This window comes from Homo sapiens, chromosome 8 (assembly GCF_000001405.40).
Source record: "Homo sapiens chromosome 8, GRCh38.p14 Primary Assembly".
Lineage (NCBI taxonomy): Eukaryota > Metazoa > Chordata > Mammalia > Primates > Hominidae > Homo > Homo sapiens.
The window spans coordinates 132,099,692-132,119,988 of NC_000008.11; the positions used below are offsets into that span (position 1 = coordinate 132,099,692).

At 41.7% G+C, this 20,297-nt stretch overlaps 1 protein-coding gene across 1 annotated transcript in view, besides 1 other annotated feature; it reads right to left on the reverse strand.

Annotated features, from left to right (window-relative positions):
- Positions 1–11,466, reverse strand: part of HHLA1 (HHLA1 neighbor of OC90) — a 49,678-nt gene extending 38,212 nt beyond the window's left edge. Inside the window, exons 1-4 of the mRNA NM_001145095.3 lie at positions 11,411–11,466; positions 5,496–5,595; positions 4,417–4,476; positions 384–443 (exon numbers count right to left, since the gene is read on the reverse strand). Coding sequence (NP_001138567.1) covers positions 384–443; positions 4,417–4,476; positions 5,496–5,574 — 199 coding nt within the window. The 5' untranslated portion in view covers positions 5,575–5,595; positions 11,411–11,466. The remainder of the gene's footprint in view (positions 1–383; positions 444–4,416; positions 4,477–5,495; positions 5,596–11,410) is intronic.
- Positions 4,791–5,085: a silencer, noted in NCBI's record as "tiled region #9796; K562 Repressive non-DNase unmatched - State 22:ReprW". NCBI's record gives its function as "represses a minimal TATA promoter and a strong SV40 promoter by Sharpr-MPRA in K562 cells {active_cell/tissue: K562}" and the evidence as "EXISTENCE:reporter gene assay evidence [ECO:0000049][PMID:27701403]".

The following is a 20,297-nucleotide window of genomic DNA, read 5'->3' on the forward strand; positions in this document are numbered from 1 at the left end:
AAAAATATAAAAATTAGCTGTGTGTGGTGGCCGGTGCCTGTAATCCCAGCTACTTGGGAGGCTGAGGCAGGAGAATCGCTTGAGCCTGGGAGGCGGAGGTTGCAGTGAGCCAAGATCGTGCTATTGCACTCCAGCCTGGGCAACAAGGGTGAAACTCCATCTAAAAAAAAAAAAAGATTTGGAAACAACAGTTGACAAGATGGAAATAGTTGTTGATGCTCCTCTTTATTCAAACATTGTCTTCTTCAACTTTTACTTAATGATCAGATAATGATTAAAGAGATGACGTTCTCGCCACTGTGGGAAAGAACAGAGGTCTAGAGAAGTGGAGGAATTGCTCTGCAACCCAGACAACCCAAGGGATTTGGGGGAGCGGCACTCACCCGTCGTAGCAAGAAATGCCACCCCCTTCTCCTTCCTCTCTTCTTCTCTAAGGCCAGACACTGGGAAGGAGACAGTTTTCATGAGAAAAATGTGAGTGGTCCAGTTCCTACCCCCAGGAATGGAAGAAGCCTTGGAAGCCTCTTTGGCCTCTGCTCTCCGTGTGAGAGTCACTGGCGGACACTGAGGAAAGGCAGATCACAGACTCTTCTGCATGGCCCTAATACAGTTTCTAATCTCTGTGGGGTGGCTGTGGCCTAGAAATGCACATTTTAATAAATCAGCTTGGCGATTCTGATACAGGGGGTCTAATTTACCCCACTCTTTAACCAAGTAGGAAAACTGAGGCCCAGAGAGGAGAAAAACCTTGCTTAAATTTGCACAACTGAGCAATGGTAATAAAGGGTTCAGAACCTACTTTCTAGAACTGTAGAGCAGTGCCCAAAATATTAGGTCTCTTGCCTACTTAACAAATTTCATGCGACCAAAGGAGAAAATGTCAAAGAAAAATTTGAAATTTCAAAGGCATTCATTCGTTCTTCATTGGTTCATTCAACAAATATTCACTGAGGGCCAAGCTATATGCTAGGCAATGTGAACTGGTAAAGGGGAATGAACCCGGTCTCCAGCTCCATGGGGCCTCCTGTGTGTGATTTGGTCAGGGAGGAGGAGACTCACATGTCGTGACAAGAGAGGAGTGTCAACACGGTGTGGGAGCACAGGGCACTAGCCTGGTGTCAGGGGATGGAGAAGGCCTTCTTGTGGAAGTGACATTAAGCAGAGACCAGAAGGATCAGTTATTTTGGATCACATGCTATAGAATCACACTGCACTTGTAACTACGACTGTTGGAGTGGTCATTTTTCATGTTATACCTGGATGGAGAAGGTGCATTATTTTACATTTTATTTTATTAAATTAAATGAGACAAGCAACATATCTTATTGGGGTCACAGAGAGGTTCAGGAAAGAAGCTGGTACAAAAAAAGCTAGTATCACATGTAACATGAAAAATGACCATTGCAACAATAGGTACCAGCAGGATGGAGAAGGTGCTGTATTTTACATTTTCATTTTGCAAATAGAAAACAACAAGCCACAGAGTCTGAAAAATGTGCCCTGCATTACAGAGTAAGTCAGGATTTAGGGCTGCCCGGGAATGTCCCATCTTTTTCCTTCTTAACATCTTTATTTCCAGACACTGAAATAAAAGTTTTCATGAATAAAATAGTAACCTGAAAGTACAGCCTCAAACAGTTCATAACATCCTTAGAAATCATCTTGTCCAACACTTTGAAGAATGGATAAACTGAAATCCCCAAACTTGATTTGATGTACCTAAATTTGATGTACCATATTGGGCTAGTGGCTAAGATAAAATCAGAAAAGAGCAATCTCAACTCTTTGTCCATGTTCTTCTCCCTCACTTCTTTCTATTTTACTTTTTAATTTATTAAAATTCATTTATAATTTTATTGAAAAACACTTAACATGAAATCTACCCTATTAATTTTTTTTTTTTTTGAGATGGAGTCTCACTCTGTTGCCCAGGCTGGAGTGCAGTGGCGTGATCTCACTGCAACCTCTGTCTCCTGGGGTCAAGCGATTCTCCTGCCTCAGCCTCCTGAGTAGCTGGGATTACAGGTGTGCACCACCACGCCTGGCTATTATTTGTATTTTTAGTAGATCTGGGGTTTCACCATGTTGGTCAGGCTGGTCTCAAACTCCTGACCTCATGATCTGCCTGCCTCGGCTTCCCAAAGTGTTGGGATTACAGGCGTGAGCCACTGCACTCATCCCAATTAACAGATTTTTAAGTGCACAATATAGTATTGTTACCTATTGTTATTATGTTGTACAGCAGCTCTTTAGAACTTATTCATCTTGTGTAACCGAAATTTCATACTCATTGAACAACGAACTTCCCATTTCCCTCTCCTAAGCCCCTGGTGAGCACCTTTCTATTCTCTGCTTCTGTGAGTTTGACTATTTTAGATACCTCATGAAAGTGGTATCATGCAGTGTTTGTTCTTCTGTGACTGGTTCATTTCACTTAGCATACTGTCCTCCAGGTTCACTCATGTTATTGCATATGGCACCGTTTTCTTATTTAAGACCGAATAATATTGCATTGTATGTATATACCACATTTCCTTTTCCTGTTTATCCGTCAATGGACATTTAGGTTGCTATCTTCTGCTTTTCTGATACCATGTTGAAACTGAGTCAAGTCAGCTGTTGCCTGCTTAAGCCAATTTGGCCTTTTGCCAATTGCCAAGCTTTTTGGTTAAATATCAAAGCTTCTGGGGTTAGAGGTAGGTGGGGACTCTAACTCCCCTTTGCCATAACAGGGCTACTGGAGGCAACGGGCTTATGTCACAAAAGGAAGTCTGAGACAGACATACTTAAGCAGGGCAAATGCTGCCAACTAGCCAGCTGTCTAGCTTGAGTGAGGCCACTGCACCCCCTCAGGCACCCGTGTGGCACTTTACCTGCGCAGTCTACTCTGCACCAGCTGCTATAAGATCTGCAGGAGGCACAATCAACCTTGCTTGTGACCTGCCAAGGCAACAGAGTCCTCCATGCAGGTGAGGGACCAGGATTATGTCAGTTCGGGGTCTCCAGGCAGCAGGGATGACCCAGGCTACCAGGCTGGCAGGATTCCTACACCTTTCCAGCCAGAATGGTGGGCCCTGTGTCATCTTCTTCACTGAGCACCATTTTTTTTTTTTTTTTTTTTTTTTTTAGCACTATTCCTTTCACCAAGGAAAGAATATTTCTACCACTCCTTGGGTTGATTTTGATAACAATATTTGAAGTCTGAACTAAACACCAGTGGAGCACAGATTTTTGAACAGGATGTAATACAGAGCATTTTTCAAATAAGTTCCCTGACAGATTACAAAAAGATATTTTTCTATTTTTGGATAAAAAGACCACCATAATAAAAGCTTTAAAATAGAAGGTTCCTGGCATTTTTTGTACTTCTTAATGCTTAGTATTTTATCACCTTTTATCCTTCATGATTACCTGTGGGGCAGGAATTGTTGTTCCCATTTAAGGAGAAGAAAATTGAAAGCTCAACTAAGAAAAATATTTATGGAAAGTTATCCTACTTACACACAATAAATTGGTACAATTGGTGCTTTCAGGAAAGGGAAGCTGTTGGCTGGGGGAGCATTTTAACTTTATACGCTTTTGTAACTTTTGCTATTTGAACTATGTGAATGTACTAATTTAAAATAAATGAGAATATAAAAATCGTCCAGGTCTGGTGGCTCATGCCTGTAATCCTAGCACTTTGGAAGGCCGAGGCAAGTGGATCCCCTGAGCTCAGGAGTTCATGACCTGCCTGGGCAACATGGTGAAACCCTGTTTCTAACAAAAGTACAAAATATTATCCAGGTGTGGTGGTACATGCCTGTGGTCCTAGCTATCGGGAGGCTGAGGTGGGAGAATCTCTTGAGCCTTTGGGGTGGAGGTTGCAGTGAGTTGAGATCGTGCCACCTGACTCCCATCTGGGTGACAGAGTAAGACCCCATCTCAAAATAAATAAATAAATAAATAAATAAGTATAAAAAGTAACACAATTTCCATCAAAACTAAAACCGAAACCAAACCAAAAAATTGTACTGCTTGTTTACTAAAATTTAGAAACCTGTTCCCAGACTCCTCTTGTCCTTTCTGTTGCAATGTAGTCACCATTGTACTGCAAAGTGAATTTCATAGCATCAAGAAGGAAAGGCAAAGAAAGATGAAATTATTACAAAGGTGATGATGGCAAGTAACGGTACCCCCCATTATAAAATCTTCTATCACCAATGGAATGTTACAGTCTTTGTGGATTTATTAAGATCACAAGGATTCAATGAACCATAAAGAAATGAGTAGCTCACAGGAACCATTGTTGTGACTATTAGAGTGTTAGATGCGGATATAATCGCTGTCTTATCAGTAGAGAAAGTCAGGCTTGGGGAAGTCAAGGAATTTGCCCAAGAACAGTGAGCTGAAAAGGAGCCCTTATCACCCACTTACCTGTTGTAGGTAAAAAGGTCATTCCCTTCTCTTTCTTGGCTTCTCCTTTGATGCCAGACACTAAAGTAAAAAAGGTTTAATCACAGAAATTATAACCAAGACATAATACCGGAGATAATTTGATTCAACATACCCATTTTACAGATGAGAGAATTATGATCTGGGGTTGTGAAGTGACATTTAGTCCCGCATCTAGTTTGTTCATTCATTTAATCATTTCGTCATCAAATATTTGTTGACCAACTACTAATGATGGATGGTGCTATTGAGTGCCGAGTGTTTGCTAGGCATTGTGTGTGCTGGAAAGGCAGACACATAGGAAAACAACATTGAATACCTTGAAGGGAACGGTGAGGGTGTGTAACAGGGGGCTGATCTAGTCTCGGGAATCTGGAAGCCTTCCCTGAGAGGGGGCGTTGAGCTGAGCTCTGAAGAATGAATAGCATTTGAGTAGGATTTATCTAATTGGGGGAATATTTGATGTATACAGAACAGCACAAGCCCAGTGTCTGAGGTAGGCATGAGTATTACTTTAAAGAATGGAAAGAAGGCCAACAGTGATGGGGGCATAAAGAATGAAGGAGGTGGAGGTGGTAGGAAGCAGGGATGGTGAGGGAGGCAGGGTCACGCAGAGCCTGAAAAGGACCTGGTACACTACACAGAGAGAAGTAGGAACTCCGCAAATAATTTGGGGCAGAGGGAGAGAAAAGAGGGAGGAACTTGGAAGATGACCTAACAAGATTTATGAAAAGATCACTCAGGCTGATTGGTGGTGAATGGGTCATGGAGAGACAAGAGGAGAAGCTGGTTTGGAAAGCTGTCTCATGGTCTGGGAAAGGGAAAATAATGTTTTGGACAAAGGTGGTAACAGTGAAGGTGAAGAGAATTCTTTTGCATAGATGGGACTTAAATGCAAAAAGTCAAGGGAACAACAGAAGTAGGGAAGTTATTCTTGCCATTTTGAACAAATTCATTTGGATTCTGGGCAGAAATGTTGGCTGCTGAGGTTCTCTAAAGCACAGTGAATACTCCAACTTATTATACAGAACAGACACTTGCAGAACTCCAGCTAGACCCACCTGTGTTCCAAAGGGACAAGACACATGCCAGGCCCATGCACAGCTTCATTGAAGGACCACGTGACAGGAAGCCCAGCATGCTTGTGATACTCTGGCCCACCTGGAATGAAGCAAGCAAACACTTAGGAAACTAAGCACATGGATGCAGACCTTCCTTTGAGAACAGTGCGTGAGGAATCATTAAAATCACAATCTGAAAAAGGCTTTGTACTAGGTTAGGAGAGGTTAGGAAGCTAAGGTAACAAATTAACTCCACAATTTAATTGGCTTAACAAGAAAAGTTGATTTCTTGTTTGCAGTATATATTCACTGCATTTTGGTGGGGAGCTCTGCTCCACATAGTCACTCAGGGACCCCAGTTAATGGAGTTCCACTATCCTATAGTTCTCCATGTGGCAACTGTAGCCTCCTTAGACTTTGATTCACTGTGGCACTGGAAGGGAGAGAGCTGTGGGATTATGCACCAACTCTTAAGTGCTTTGGCAGGAAGCAACACATTTGCTTTTGCTTGCAGCCCATACCAAAATTACTTATATGACCCTGCATTATTGCAGGAAAACTGGGAATGTAGAGGGGGATGCATACATATTCAGGGAGCATTTATATTTCTTCCATGGATTTTCTGGCTGTTGAGATGGGAAATATCCCTCAAATACAGCATCACTTACTCTCATAAATAGGAAAATATATTACCATAGGAATATGTGTGTTCACAGTCTCTTTCCTTCTCTGCAGCACTCTGTGCCTGCCATTCTCATTTTGCATTTGCCATGCAAAATCACCATGATAGTTACAGTTGCAAAGCTGAGACTAAATTGAATAATGGCTAACATTTATTGAGCACTTTCTGTGTGCCAGATGCCACATTGAACACTATCTGATGCATACTTGATAACTGTACAGTCTTTCTGTGTAGGTATTAATGTAATGACAATTTAAATACAGGCTGCACAGATACGATTTGAAAAGAGGAGAAATTTACCATTGGTAGAGGGTTGGATTTATCTGGAAGGTGAATTGGGCGGGAAGAAAAGTCAAGAGAATGTGCGCTTGGATTGGAGAAAAATGTTGCAGGAAGGGAACATCCTCAGGGCAAATTGCATGTTGAGAAGTTCTGCTGTCCATTAGGAATGGGAAGGCCCTGTGGAATTTTCTTAAAAGATCCCAGAAACATTTAAATAGCTTTTTGATTATTGATAGCTATGTGACTGGCATTTGTTCTAGATGCCACCCCAAAGAGACAGGTCTTACAAGGAAGCAAGAAGCTGGGGCTTTCGTGGAATTCACCTATTCTCATAAGTCTGGTTACTCTCTGAATACCAATTTTCCTCATCTGCAAAACAGTTAAGAGAACTCTCACAGGGTCTTTGTGAGGATTTAAAATAATGAATCCAGAGCATTTAACCCAGTGCCTGGCACATCGTTATGCTCACAATCCATACCAGGCATCAAGCTCAGGCTGGAGACACAGGGACAGAGTAGACACTGCCACTTCCCTTGAGCTGTTTAGTAACTTAGAAGATGTAGACACATGCCCAACTAATTCACACTCAAGGCTGGCTGTGCTAAATTCTCCACTGAGAGAGAGATGGACAGGGAGAGAGAGAGTGAGCACCTGGTGAAGCCAGGACTTAGCGTTCTCTCCAGCAAAGGGTGACTGGGGGTGGAAGTGGGCAGGCAATTCCTGCTGAGTGAGGATTCTTTCCTTTGGCACCTCAAGCACTGCGCAAACATTATCTCCCCTTTCTGAGCCTCGTGTGTAGAATGGACAGAGTCATAACTACTTTGAAGGTATTTTTGTGAAGATTAAATGAGAATGAAATATGGTGCTTAGTACAATCTCTGGAATATGGTAGATATTAGGAATCTTAATTTCTTTCTCATTCTCTTATCTTTCTCTCTTTTCTCCTCTTTCCCCCTTCTTCTTCTGTATCTATTTCAGAACTCAGCATCATACCAGAGAAATACGGAATTAAAAGATAAAAACTTATAGTAGAAAAACAATTATTTACATTTATATAATAGCTACAAATTTCTCTCTTTTTGACTCTTGCTTCATTATGTTAACCACCCTCTTCCATTTACTAAGAGTAAACATTCTAAGATTTATTTATTTTTATTTTTATTTTTTTGAGAAGAGTTTCGCTCTTGTTGCCCAGGCTGGAGTGCAGTGGTACGATGTCAGCTCACTGCAACCTCCGCCTCCCAGGTTCAAATGGTTCTCATGCCTTAGACTCCCGAGCAGCTGGGATTACAGGTATGTGCCATCATGCCCGGCTAATTTTTGTATTATTAGTAGAGACAGGGTTTCTCCATGTTGGTCAGGCTGGTCTCGACTCCCGACCTCAGATGACCTACCTGCCTCAGCCTCCCAAATTGCTGGGATTACAGGCATGAGCCACCGCGCTTGGCCGACATGCTAAGATTTATTACTCGAAGACTACAATTCCTACTGATACTGTTCTTGGAGAAAAATGCATTTTTACTTCTCCCTGGTTTTTTAATTCTTTGTCATTGGCCAAGTCAACTACATGTTTGGATTAAGGTTGTTAGATTTAACAAGTAAAAAACACAGGACACCATTTGAATTTGAGATAACAGTGAATAATATCTTAGTGTATCTCATGCAATATTTGGAACATCCATAGTTTGGAGAGAGTTTTATAAAGGAACACTTCAGACTGGCTAGACTTCACCTGACAGTAAAACTGAGACTATCTGGCCTTACGCTTCCCTTTGCAAGTCTGGACCACTCTGGGACAGTCTAGGACAGGGAGAGAGCCTGGGTTTAAGGTCAGACAGATCTTACTTGAATCTTGAGTTGGCCATTGTGATCTGGGCTAACTTACTTAACCTTCACTCAGTCAAAAAGCATTTGTGGAGCTCATGGCATAGTTGTTACAAGCACAGACCCTGGAGTTGGAGGACTGCCTAGGTTTATTTCCTGGCTCTGCAGTGCAACTTACTAAACCTCTCTGTGCCTCACCCAAGACTGTCCTGAGGATTAAAATATGTTACATTTGTAGACTGTAGCGGACAGTGTCTGGCATGGAGCAAGTGCTATATAAATGTATAACAAATAAGTGATAGAATTAAAGTAATGGCGAAAACCTCAATTACTTCTGCACCAACAATATAGTGATAATAATGAAAATAAGAAAAGATGTTGGTACTCCAATAGTAAGCAAGACAGATAATGTTCTTCATATGATAGAGTGAGTCCTCAAAGTTATATCTTTAAAAGACTGAATTAGATATCCAAAATTTTACCGTAAAATTAAGTTGTCATTATTTCACTACATTTCTCATGACTATTATTGGATAATTATTTATAAATCTTTGTTTCTTCCGTGACACTTGCAGAAAAGCAAGTCATGTGATGACAGGACAATAATAATTATTTATTGAAGGGGATCAAAATATGCCAGCCAAAATATACTATCCCCTAATAAGCGACTTTGGGCACATGGATTATTTTGAGTGGAAGGCCATCGAGAATCAACAGATGCAGGAAGAAGCCTTCTTGGAGCTTCTCCTACCTGACTATGTGCAGACACTTCTGAGAAATTCTCTCTCCCTGGGAGAGTTTTATGGCCAAGAAGAAGACGGAAAGTGGGTGCTGAGTGGGCACACAAACCTCACAAAAATAAACCTTAGCATCCATTGGTTTCCCCATATATTTCCTTCCCACATTATACTGCCTCTAGAAGCTCAAAGCTCTTTTCCTTTGTCTTGTCACTTCTCCACAAATCGGTCACCTTATTGTTAAAGTGATATATAAGTCCCCAAGTCTGATGGCCCTTTTAGGGTATTTTTGTTTGTTTTTGCTTGTTTGTTTTGAGACGAAGTCTCGCTCTGTCGCCCAGGCTGGAGTGCAGTGGCACGATCTCGGCATACTGCAACCTCCGCCTCCTGGGTTCAAGCAACTCTCTGCCTCAGCCTCCCGAGTAGCTGGGATTACAGGTGCCCACCACCATGCCAGGCCAATTTTTGTATTTTTAGTAGAGGCAGGGTTTCACCATCTTGGCCAGGCTGGTCTTGAACTCAGTCAAAAAGCATTTGTGGAGCTCATGGCATAGTTGTTACAAGCACAGACCCTGGCGTTGGAGGACTGCCTAGGTTTACTTCCTGGTCTTGATCTACCGGCCTCGGTCTCCCAAAGTGCTTGGATTGCAGGCGTGAGCCACTGTGCCCAGCTCCCTTTAGGGTTTCTATTTCATTTTTGTGAGGACTCCTATAAGCATATGAAAAAAAACATTTTTCTCCTGTAATCTAACTTTTGTTAGTTTAATTTGCAGGACCTCATAAACTAAACCTAAGAGAGTACAGGAAACAGGGGTTTCATCCCCTAGAGTACAATGTATTGATCCTCCCATTTTGAGCACAGTCTGTTATTTCAACTTCTCAAGCATCCCATGGGACAGGCATTGATCTTTGAGTTACAGAAGATAAAGGCCCAGGGTTCTGACGTGCAGCCCCCAGCTCCCAGTCACATGATTTCTAAGCAGGAGAACTGGGATTTGAACCATGGTCTCTCAGATACTAAAGTCCCTTGTCCACAGTGTTCTGTTTTACTCACCTGCTTTCAAAATACCATCTTGGAGTGCCAGTAAAAAGCCTGATATTGAACACAAACAGAATGGCCATTTCAAAGCATTTTGGGAGGTGGAAGGGTTAGAAATCCAGTCACACTCCCGGGAGAAGGGCTGAGAAGTGTTGCTATGACTGATGGGCCAAGAAGTCACCCAAGAGTCTTGTGAAATTAATTTGCAATATGTCTGTGTGTTTTGTCACAGCAGCCCTGGAGCCGGGAGTGTGGACGGTGAAGGCAAATGCTCCAGAGTCTTAATTAAACAGTGTGTTACCGCCAATCAACAAGGGTCCCAAATCAACCAAGGTTAGTTCAGCTTGATGAGCAAACCTGCCTTTCTCACTGAACTCTGCAGCCAAAAGGTGCTGGATCAGATATAGCATAATTACAGTGCGCTGTGGAGAGGTGGAAATACACACTGGAGTGTCAGCGGGTGTGGGCTAGCCACAGTGAGTGACACATGTTCTGAGGCATTACGACGGTCCGTTCAGCCAGTAACCTTCCATATAGATATCAGCTCTCCCTCCTTGAAGAGAAACCAGAAGCCTGGGGATTCTAGACAGTTTGCCCAAGGTCATTAAGCTGGCAGGGGCAGCCCTGGACTTCAAACTTAGGTAGTTTGGTTCCATGGGCTGTGAGAGAACACCAAAAGGTGAGGGGCTGGCTTTTAAAAAATACCTAATGACAGAAAAGAATTGAAGATCCTAATATTTGTTGACCATCTGATGTGCTAGGAGTTTTACATATAGTAACCCATTGGTCCTTCAAGCAACACTACTAATGGCTTGTTATAATTCTTATTTTATAGCTTTAGGAAACCAAGCCTCAGACAAACATAAGGCCCAAGGGAATGCATCTGGGAGAACCAGGATTGGAAGTCCAGTCTGTTTGCTGCCAAAATCCATTGCAGGTTGAACACTGAGTAAGGAAATATAACTTTTTAGCTGTTGCCTCACTGCCAGCCATTTTTTAGCGCACTCTTTTATCCTCATTCCAATGTTTTGGAGGCTTTGGATTAAAGATTATGTTTCTTTTATCATAGATGTGAGGACAAACCATCCTCCCAGCTGGTGACTGCCTTAAGATTCTAATCAATAGCTTAAAATGAACAACGGCAAGAAATAGACTGTGATCAAGCGATCAAGGGATGGAGTCTTAGCTAAATGCAATGTAGATATTGGATGATAGAAACTGCTCTCATATCTTTCAGTATCCAGGAGCCCAGAGCTCAGGATTATAGCAGATGAATTCTTTAGCTGGCTTCATGCTTTGAAGAGGAGGAGGAACCAAAAGAGTTTTAAAATACCTACCATATACTACTTACCTATCTTCTGAGCAGGATAAATTGACTTCAAAGAACTTAAACAGCTAGAAAGATTAACAGCTAGGTCAGAGCCATGGGGTTTATATGAGTTCTTAGTGAAAGATACAGTGGGTGGGGGTGGGGAAAGTCTTGATAACATTGCTTTAAATCCCCTTGGGAAAAAATGGAATAATAATCCTACCAAAAACTTAGTGTGGTGAAAGAAGATCAACTCCAAGGGAGAAAAATGCCTGTGCAATGAGCTGAATAGCATCCGTGAACAGAATGACAATGCACTGATTCAGCATGGGATGGGAAAACCTTTCTGACAGTAATTACGTGTATTGAAGGAGTAGAACAGGAGTCCCTAGGTGATGAGTTCTGTCTTCCTGTTGCAAAGGTTTGTGGGCCAAGCATCACCTGGCATGCAGGCCCGTGGGAGTCTTCTGAAGAAAGGGCTGGGGGCTGTAGTTGATTTCAGCAGGTGCCTACAGCGGGATACTTGTTTTTATACAGCTTGCAACCTCAGGATGGTTATATATTTTTAAAATGATTGAAAAAAATTAAAGAAGAATGATATTTCATAACATGTAAAAACCGTTTGAAATTCAAATTTCAGTGTCCACAAATAAAATGTTATTGGAACATTGCCACACTCATTCATTTATGTATTGTCTGTGGCTGTATTTGGGCTACAACGGCATAACTGAGTAGCTGTGACAGAGACCATATGGCCTACAAAGCTAGAATATTTATTACTATCTGGCCCTTTATAGAAAAAGTTTGCCAACTCCTGGCCTAGAAGAACTTGGCCCCTTCTGCTCCTAGGGCCCACATTCAACACTGATGGTTTTTATCTAGACACTGGAGTTGCCATTTGCTTGTCACCTTGCTACTACTCATACTTCCCTAAATAAGTCTCCATTATATCAGCCATAGTAATCTTTAAAAGAACCTTATTAAGGTATAATTCACCCTTTTTAAGTATAAAATTCAATGTAAATTTAGTGCAACCGTCACTGCATTCTAATTTGAAAACATTTCTATTACCCCAGAAAGATTCTTCCTGCCCATGTATGGTTAATCCCCATTCCCTCTACCCACACCAGGCCAAGGAAACCACTAATCTACTTTCAATCTCTGTATGCTTTTATTTTCTGAACATTTCCTGTCACTGAAATCATGCAATATATAGTCAGAGAAATAGTTTTAAAACATGAATCAAGATCATGTCACTACGTTGCCTAAAATCCTTCCATAGCTTTCGTCAGCACCTAGAATAATATCCCAATTCTTTACCCTGGCTACAAAGACTCTTGCAGTTGCCCTCTTCCTAAGTCTCTAGCCATATCACATGCGGCCTTTTCCCTTGTTCACAGCCACAGCGACTTTGCACTGGCTGCTCCTTATTGGAAGCCTCTTCCCCAGGCTTCTCAACGACTGGCTCCTTCCTATTCTTCAGTTATTCTTTCTATTTAAACAAAATCAAAGCCCTCTTGACCTTACATCTCCTACAGCTCCTCCTTCATTTCTCTTTCCCTTCATGGCAAAACTCCTCAATGAGTTGTCTCTACTTGATGCCCCAGAGCATCTCCATCTCCTCTCTCTCAAGCCCACTCCCATCAGGCATGACATCAGCATCCCTCCAGTGCAGCTCTTGTCAAGGCCATGCTGATTCTTACATGGCTAACTCCACTTCTCACTAGGCACTACAGCACTTGATGCCATTAGCCAATCACTCCCTCCTTGAGACCCTCTCAGCACGTGGCTTCCCCACACCACAGTCTCCTATTTTCCCTCCTATTTCATTAGCTGCTCCTGCTCAGCCTCCTTTGCTCGTTCCTTCTCATTTCCTTGGCCTCTTGATGTTGTAGGGCTTAGTCTTTGATTGTCTTCTCTTTTCTCTCTATACTTGTTCACTTGGGGATCTCATTCTGTCTCATGGTTTTAAATGTTACCTACAAGTCGTTGAATAGATAGATACAAAGAGTCAATCATTGCTTAATAGTGGAGATACGTTCTGAGAAATGTGTCATTAGGCAATTTTGTCATGCAAACATCAATAGAGTATGCTTACACAAACCTAGATGGTATAGCCTACTACACGCCTAGGCTATACGGTGTAGCCGATTGCTGCTAGGCTACAAACCTGTACAGACATTACTATACTGAATACTGTACTCAACTGTAATGCAATGGTAAGCATTTGTGTATCTAAACATAGAAAAGGTACAATAAAAATACAGTATAAAAGATTAAAAAATGGTACACCTGTGTAGAAGAACACTTCATCATGAAAGGAACTTACAGGACTAGAAGTTGCTCTGGATGTCAGTGAGTGAGTGGTGAGTGAATGTGAAGGCCTCGAAATTACTGCACAGGACTGAAGACTTTATAAACACTGTACACTTAGGCTATGCTAAATTTATTGAAAATATTAACCTTGCTATAAGTAGTAAACTTAGCTTACGGTAGTTTTTTTCCTTTATAAACAAAATTTTTTTAAAACCTTTTGACTCTTTTGTAATAACTTAGCTTAAAACACAAACATATTGCACGGCTGTACAAAAATTTTCTTTATATCCTTATTTTAAAAGCTTTTTCCTGTTTTTAATTTTTCTTTTTTACTTTTTACTTTTCTTTTCTTCTTTTAAACTTTTCTGTTAAAAACTAGGACACAAACAAACACATTAGCCTAGGTTTACGCAAGTTCAGTATCATCCCTATCACTGTCTTTCACCTCCCCACCTTGTCTTGCTGGAAGGTCTTCAGGGACAATCACACACATGGAGCTGTCATCTCCTAGGAAAACAATGCCTTTGTCTAGAATACCTCCTGAAAGACCGCTCTAAGACTTTATAGTATTTTTTTTTTTTTTTTTGAGACAGAGTCTCGCTCCGTCACCCAGGCTGGAGTGCAGTGGTGTGATCTCGGCTCACTGCAACTTCTGTGTCCCAGGTTCAAGCAATTCTCCTGTCTCAGCCTCCCAAGTAGCTGGGACTACAGGCACCTGCCACCATGCCTGGTTATTTTTTTGTATTTTTAGTAGAGACAGGGTTTCACCTTGTTGGTCAGGCTGGTCTCGAACTCCTGACCTCAGGTGATCCAACTGCCTCATCCTCCCAAAGTGCTGGGATTACAGGCATGAGCCACCATGCCTGGCCAGTAAATTTTTTTTATAAGTAGAAGGAGTACACTCTAAAATAAGTATTGTATAATAAGTACATAAACCAGTAGCATAGTCATTAATTATCATTATCAATTATTATGTACTGTACATAATTGTATGTGCTATATTTGTATCCAACTGATAGTGCAGTAGGTTTGTTTATGCCAGGATCACCATAAATAGATGAGTAATGCACTGTACTGTGACACTGGGATGGCTACAATATCACTAGGCGATAGGAATTTTTCAGCTCCAGTATAATCTTAGGGGACCATCATCCTATATGCGGTCGCTTGTTGACTGATACATCATTATGCGGTGCATGACTGCATAAATTTGGGTATGGATATAGATATAGACAGAGATATCTTCAGCCCTGAACAGTCTCCTTAACTCCATACTTAAATACCTGCTGGATATTTCCACCAAATGTTTCATATGCATTTGAAATTTAACGCATAAAAAACCAAACTCATGTTCTGCTTGCAAAACCTGACTCTTCCCCAATCTACCCTATCTGCATGATACCCTCCCTCATTATGGTACTCAAAAAACTTTGCAATAATCCTATTCTCCTCTCATATCTCACATTTACTCCATCAGTAAATTTTGTCATCTCTGCTCTTAAAATGTATCCAGATTTCTAACATTTCTCACTTCCTCCACTGCTCTCACTTGGGTCCAAGCCTCTCTTGACTCTCATTGAACCAATTACTGCAAATGCAGTATTGCTCCTAACTAATCTCTTGTTCTCTGCTCTTGCCTCCTTCAGTGTATTCTCAATACAGCAGCCAGAGAAACTCTTTTTAACATAAATCAGATCTTGCTATCTCTCTACTCAAAGCTTTGCAATGACTTCCTTCTTGATTCAAAGTAAAAACAAATAACCTCATAATGGCCCATGAGGGCCTTCATGGCCTGACCCCTGATACTTCTCAAATCTCCTCTGTCATTGCTCTTCCTTCTGCTAACTCCCTTGCCCTGCACTGGCCTGAGGTAGACCTACCCAGAACCAGAAGATAAACTGCTGGGAATATTTTCATATCTGATGTGGGGACAGGACATGGGACAATTGGACTTTTCTCAGGGGAGACACCTTACATGTCTTCAGTGAGGAGAAATCACTGGGTCCTTGGTCAACTGGATGCCCATGCTCATTGTTGGAAGCTGAAATTATCAGAAACAAGAACAAGTTCCCAGAATATCTGGGATGTAAGGCTATGAATGGGCTTTTGCTGCATTTGTGCAGATGAAGGAAATTTTTAGGCTTTTTCACTGTCATACAGTCACCTGAGGCTTGAAGTGGGTAAGTTTTATTTGGACAGAAATATGCAGTTGCAGAGTGGGTACACTTACCATAACCACAAAGTTGTCCATACGCCTTTGTGATGCTAGACATGGACTTTGCAGCCAGATTGTTGTGTTCTAGAAGAGCAGTCTACCCTGGTTCTCAGAGGCTACAGGCAATGTTTCCACAGTGAATTGTGTCCATGAGTGTATCACTTCCAGCTTGCCCAGTGTTAGCCATCTTTGTCCTTTGATTTACAGAGTAAATTGTGGCAACCAGGATGGGTTTTTGTTTATTTTTGTGTATGTCTGGTTTTCAAGTAGGCTTATGTGCCAGATGCTGATGGTATCCTGCAAGTGTCCTTCCTCCCTACTTCTGAGTTCACCTGCAGTTCATAGATAATTCTCAGCATGCTGGCAGCTCTCCACCTTCATTGGCAGTGCTTCTGTTTCTCTATCAGAGACTTTTCTTCCCCCTGTTTCATCTCTCCACTCTCTAAGTTGTGTTTTCTGGGAATGCTTTCTGAATAAACCACCTACACTCAACATCTCATCTCTATTTTTGTGGACGCCCAAATTAAGACAACTTGTTGTGTGGGCATGGGATGGAGTCAAAAGCTATCACTCACTGAACATTTTCTGTGTCCTAGATCCTTTGCTAAGTACTCTACTGACATCATTCCAGATAATGACCTTTCAAGATAGGTATAATTCTCCCCATTTTACAGATGCTTACCATAAAAGGGTTAAGTAACCCTCTCAAGGTTCTTTCTCTCACATGAAGAAACATTCCTTCCCACTGTACTGACAGTAGAGAGAGGAAAACTTATATAAGCTTTACTAATTTCCTCTCCCATCAACTCACAGTGTTTTTGATTCACTTATTCTTTCTTCAGCCCACGTGGTCTGAGAAGTGAAGTTTCTCCAAAGGAAGTAACCTGAGACTCAGGGGTAGGTGGTCCTGGTTAAGTTCAAATTGTGACTCTTTCCCTTATTAGTGTTTGACCTTGAGCAGATTTCTTTATGTTTCCGAGCCTCAATTTCCCCATGTATAAAATGGGAATTACAATGACTTAAAATTTTAGTGACTGAATAACACTTTAATTAGGCTGGGCATGGTAGCTCACGCCTGTAATCCCAGCACTTTGGGATGCCGAGGCAGGTGGATCACTTTGAGACCAGCCTGGCCAACATGGTGAGACCCCATCTCTACTAAAAATACAAAAATTAGCCTGGTGTGGTTGCATGCACCTGTAATCCCAGCTACTTGGGAGGCTGAGGCAGGAGAATTGCTTGAACCCAGGAGGTGGAGGTTGCAGTGAGCCAAGGTTGCACCACTGCACTCCAGCCTGGGTGACAGAGTGAGACTCCGTCTCAAAAATAAAATAAAATAAAAACATTTTAAAACACTTTAATTAAACCTGTGTAGTGGCTGGTACCAAGGAGGTGTTCAATTCCCATTGTGTTGTCTTTGCGGCTATGGGTTTTATTTTGTATTTGATTATTTTCTTCCCCTGGGTCTTTATGCCATCGATTACCTATTTTCTTTCTTTTGTCTTTATTCTTTCCCTCTCAACCCTTCTTTTCTCACATTTTATAAATATACTCAAGCCTCCCCTATCATTCCCTCCTGCAACCGATAACAAACTCTCTTTACTTGTCATTGATTTCGTCAACACTTGGACCTTCATTTTTCCTGCAGCTCTTTGCCTTTCTTTTAAAAGAGTTCCTCAACTTTACCTATATTACATAAATTCAGTGGGCTCTTTCCTATCCATATCCTGCGTTACCTCAACATCTTGGTATTACTCTATATGATGGCCACCCCCTCTCATTTCTCCCCCTTTTAATTCCATGACCCTCTTTTCATTTCTATCTACATTGATCATGGTTTCTTGGACGCTCCTTACATTTTCCTCTTCCTCTGCATACCTTTCAAGGCAGATCTTTCCCAAAGTTCATGCTTTTCCAAGCTTTGCTTTTTTATCACAGAGCCCCTTGGGTGGTGAGCTCACTCGTGCCATGATTTCATCCTAGTTACTTTTCTGTTTCCTAAAGCTATGTAGCAGTCTTCCTTCCTCCCTGGCTTTCTGTTGGGTTCAGGCAACAGTAGATACCAGTAGAGGATCAGAAGAGGGAAAGAGAGTGAGGTTGCAGTCTTTATTCCCTTAGCTCCCTCCCTGCTGGTTCACTACCAGATTGCTGTGTCCAATGCCCAAGGTCATAGTCCCTATCACATGGCCCTCTCCATAAAGCTCCATCTGGGTTCTGGCCCTTGTCGGGCTGTTGCTAGCTTTGCAGGACTGTACCATGCCAATTTGATTTAACTAAACTATGACCAAATCTTTGTAAGCAAACCCTTTATTAAAATCTCCTCCACTTACGTAGTATGTGTATGACTTTCTTATTTCTCCACCTGGATCTTAACTGAGACAACCACACATTATATAACCCCTGGAGAAGCATGCAGGAAAGGAACTTGAGTGAGAAAACTTAGGTAAATTAAATGAATATAAACATATTTATCCCCTGCTTAGCTAGCAAGGACTTTTATTCAAAATAAAAGATTCTAATGGATTAGTAGCTAAGAATAAATGCTCTGGAGTCAGACTTCCTGCTCTGAATCCTGGCTGTGCCATTTACTAGCTATGTGACCCTGGACAAATGACTAAATTCTCTATAGTTCAGTGTCCCTATCTATAAAGTAGGGATGATAATAGTTCTGAGTGCCAAGATTTATTGTGAAGAGTAAATGAGATGATTCACAGAGAATACTAAGTAAAATGTCTGGCACATGTAAGTGCTCAGTAAATATTAGCTATTATTCTTATGTCTCACAGAACTGAGCTTGGGAGAGGCTGATAAAGCCTAGGTCCAGAGATTAAGCAATCACCCTTATTAGCTGGAGGGAGGTTTCTGAGCTCTAATATTTGCTTCATCAGTCCCTAAAGACAATACCATGTTCATGCTAACTTTGAGAATGCCCTAGTTACCTAGTGTGGCAGACAGGTTTTAAGATGGTCTCAATTATATCTTATGTAGTAATACCCTCCCCTTGAGCATAGGCAAAATCTGTGAATTCCCGTTAATCAATAAAATATGGCAAAGGTAATGGGCTGTCAGTTTTATGATATGTTACATAAGATTGCAACTTTCATCTTGCCAGCAGACTCTCCCTTGCTCATTTTGATGAAGCAAGCTGCTATGTTGTGAGCTGACCTATGGAGAAGGCTATGTGACAAGGAACTGAGAGCAATCTCTGCCCAACAGCCAGCAAAAAACTGATGTCCTCAGTCTAACAACCCTCAAAGAACTAAATTGTTCCTAATGTGAGAACAGAAGTGGATTCTTCCCCAGTTGAGCCTCAGATAAGACCACAGCTCCAGCCAACACCTTGGTTGAATCTTGTAAGACCCTAAAGCAGAGGACCCAGTTAAGCTGTTCTTGGATTCCTGGTCAGCAGAAACTATGAGATAATAAATTTGTATTGTTTTTAACCACTAAGTTTGTGGCAATATTTGTGTAGCAATAGATAACACACCTAAAATGTAGCGCATTTACTCATTGTTTCATTCTTTAGCACTTACAGTCACCATGATAGTTTCTGAGGACAAAGATTAGATCGCTATGTTGGCCGGTGCTGCAAGTCCCCAAAATGGGACCATGGGAGGGAGTGGAATTGTAGGGAGTGGAAGTAGGAGGGTAGGACATGAGTTCTTGGGCGATGGCATTAGTTACCAATAAAAAAGGCAGTATGATTCTTTCTCCTAATGAGAGGAACTGAGACCAGGCAGCTGAGAGAACCTTGTCAGTCTCTAGATACGAGAGGAATAGTTTCTTTGAAAGGAAAAGTTCAAAATTGAATTCTGAGAACCATGATCAGGATGGAAGGCAGAAGTCAGAAGGGAGGGTGCAGTTTCAGACCGTGGATCTGGGAAGAGATTTCCTCACTGCACCGTGATCTCCTTAACTTAAGGACAGAAAGTTCCAAAGAGCCCTAATATACCTTCAAGGCCTCATCTGCCTGGATCAGTCTCCTTCTTGCTTTCTGCATTCCAAGCACACTGCCTTCTTACTACATCTGGAATGCTCCCTGTTTACCCAGGGCATAAATCCCACTGAGTTGCTTGCCAGAGGCAATGGAGACCATAAGAACAAGAATGTAAAAATGCAACTTTGCTTTGAACAGAACTTCTAAACTGAGCCTGTCTCATGCCTCTTTGCACATCCTCTTCCCAATGTCTGGCAGGCCTGTCTTCTCTACTTCCTTCTTCATTTTTGGCTTTGTGAAGTCATCCTTAAATATTCCATTCATACCTCATGCTCTGCATGAAGCGTTTTCTATACCTCTAATATGAGCCAGTGCCATGCTTTGTGTTTCCACAGAACCCTTGATTATCTCATTCATCACGCTTCTCACAGAACTGAAATGATCTTAAGGCCAATACCACA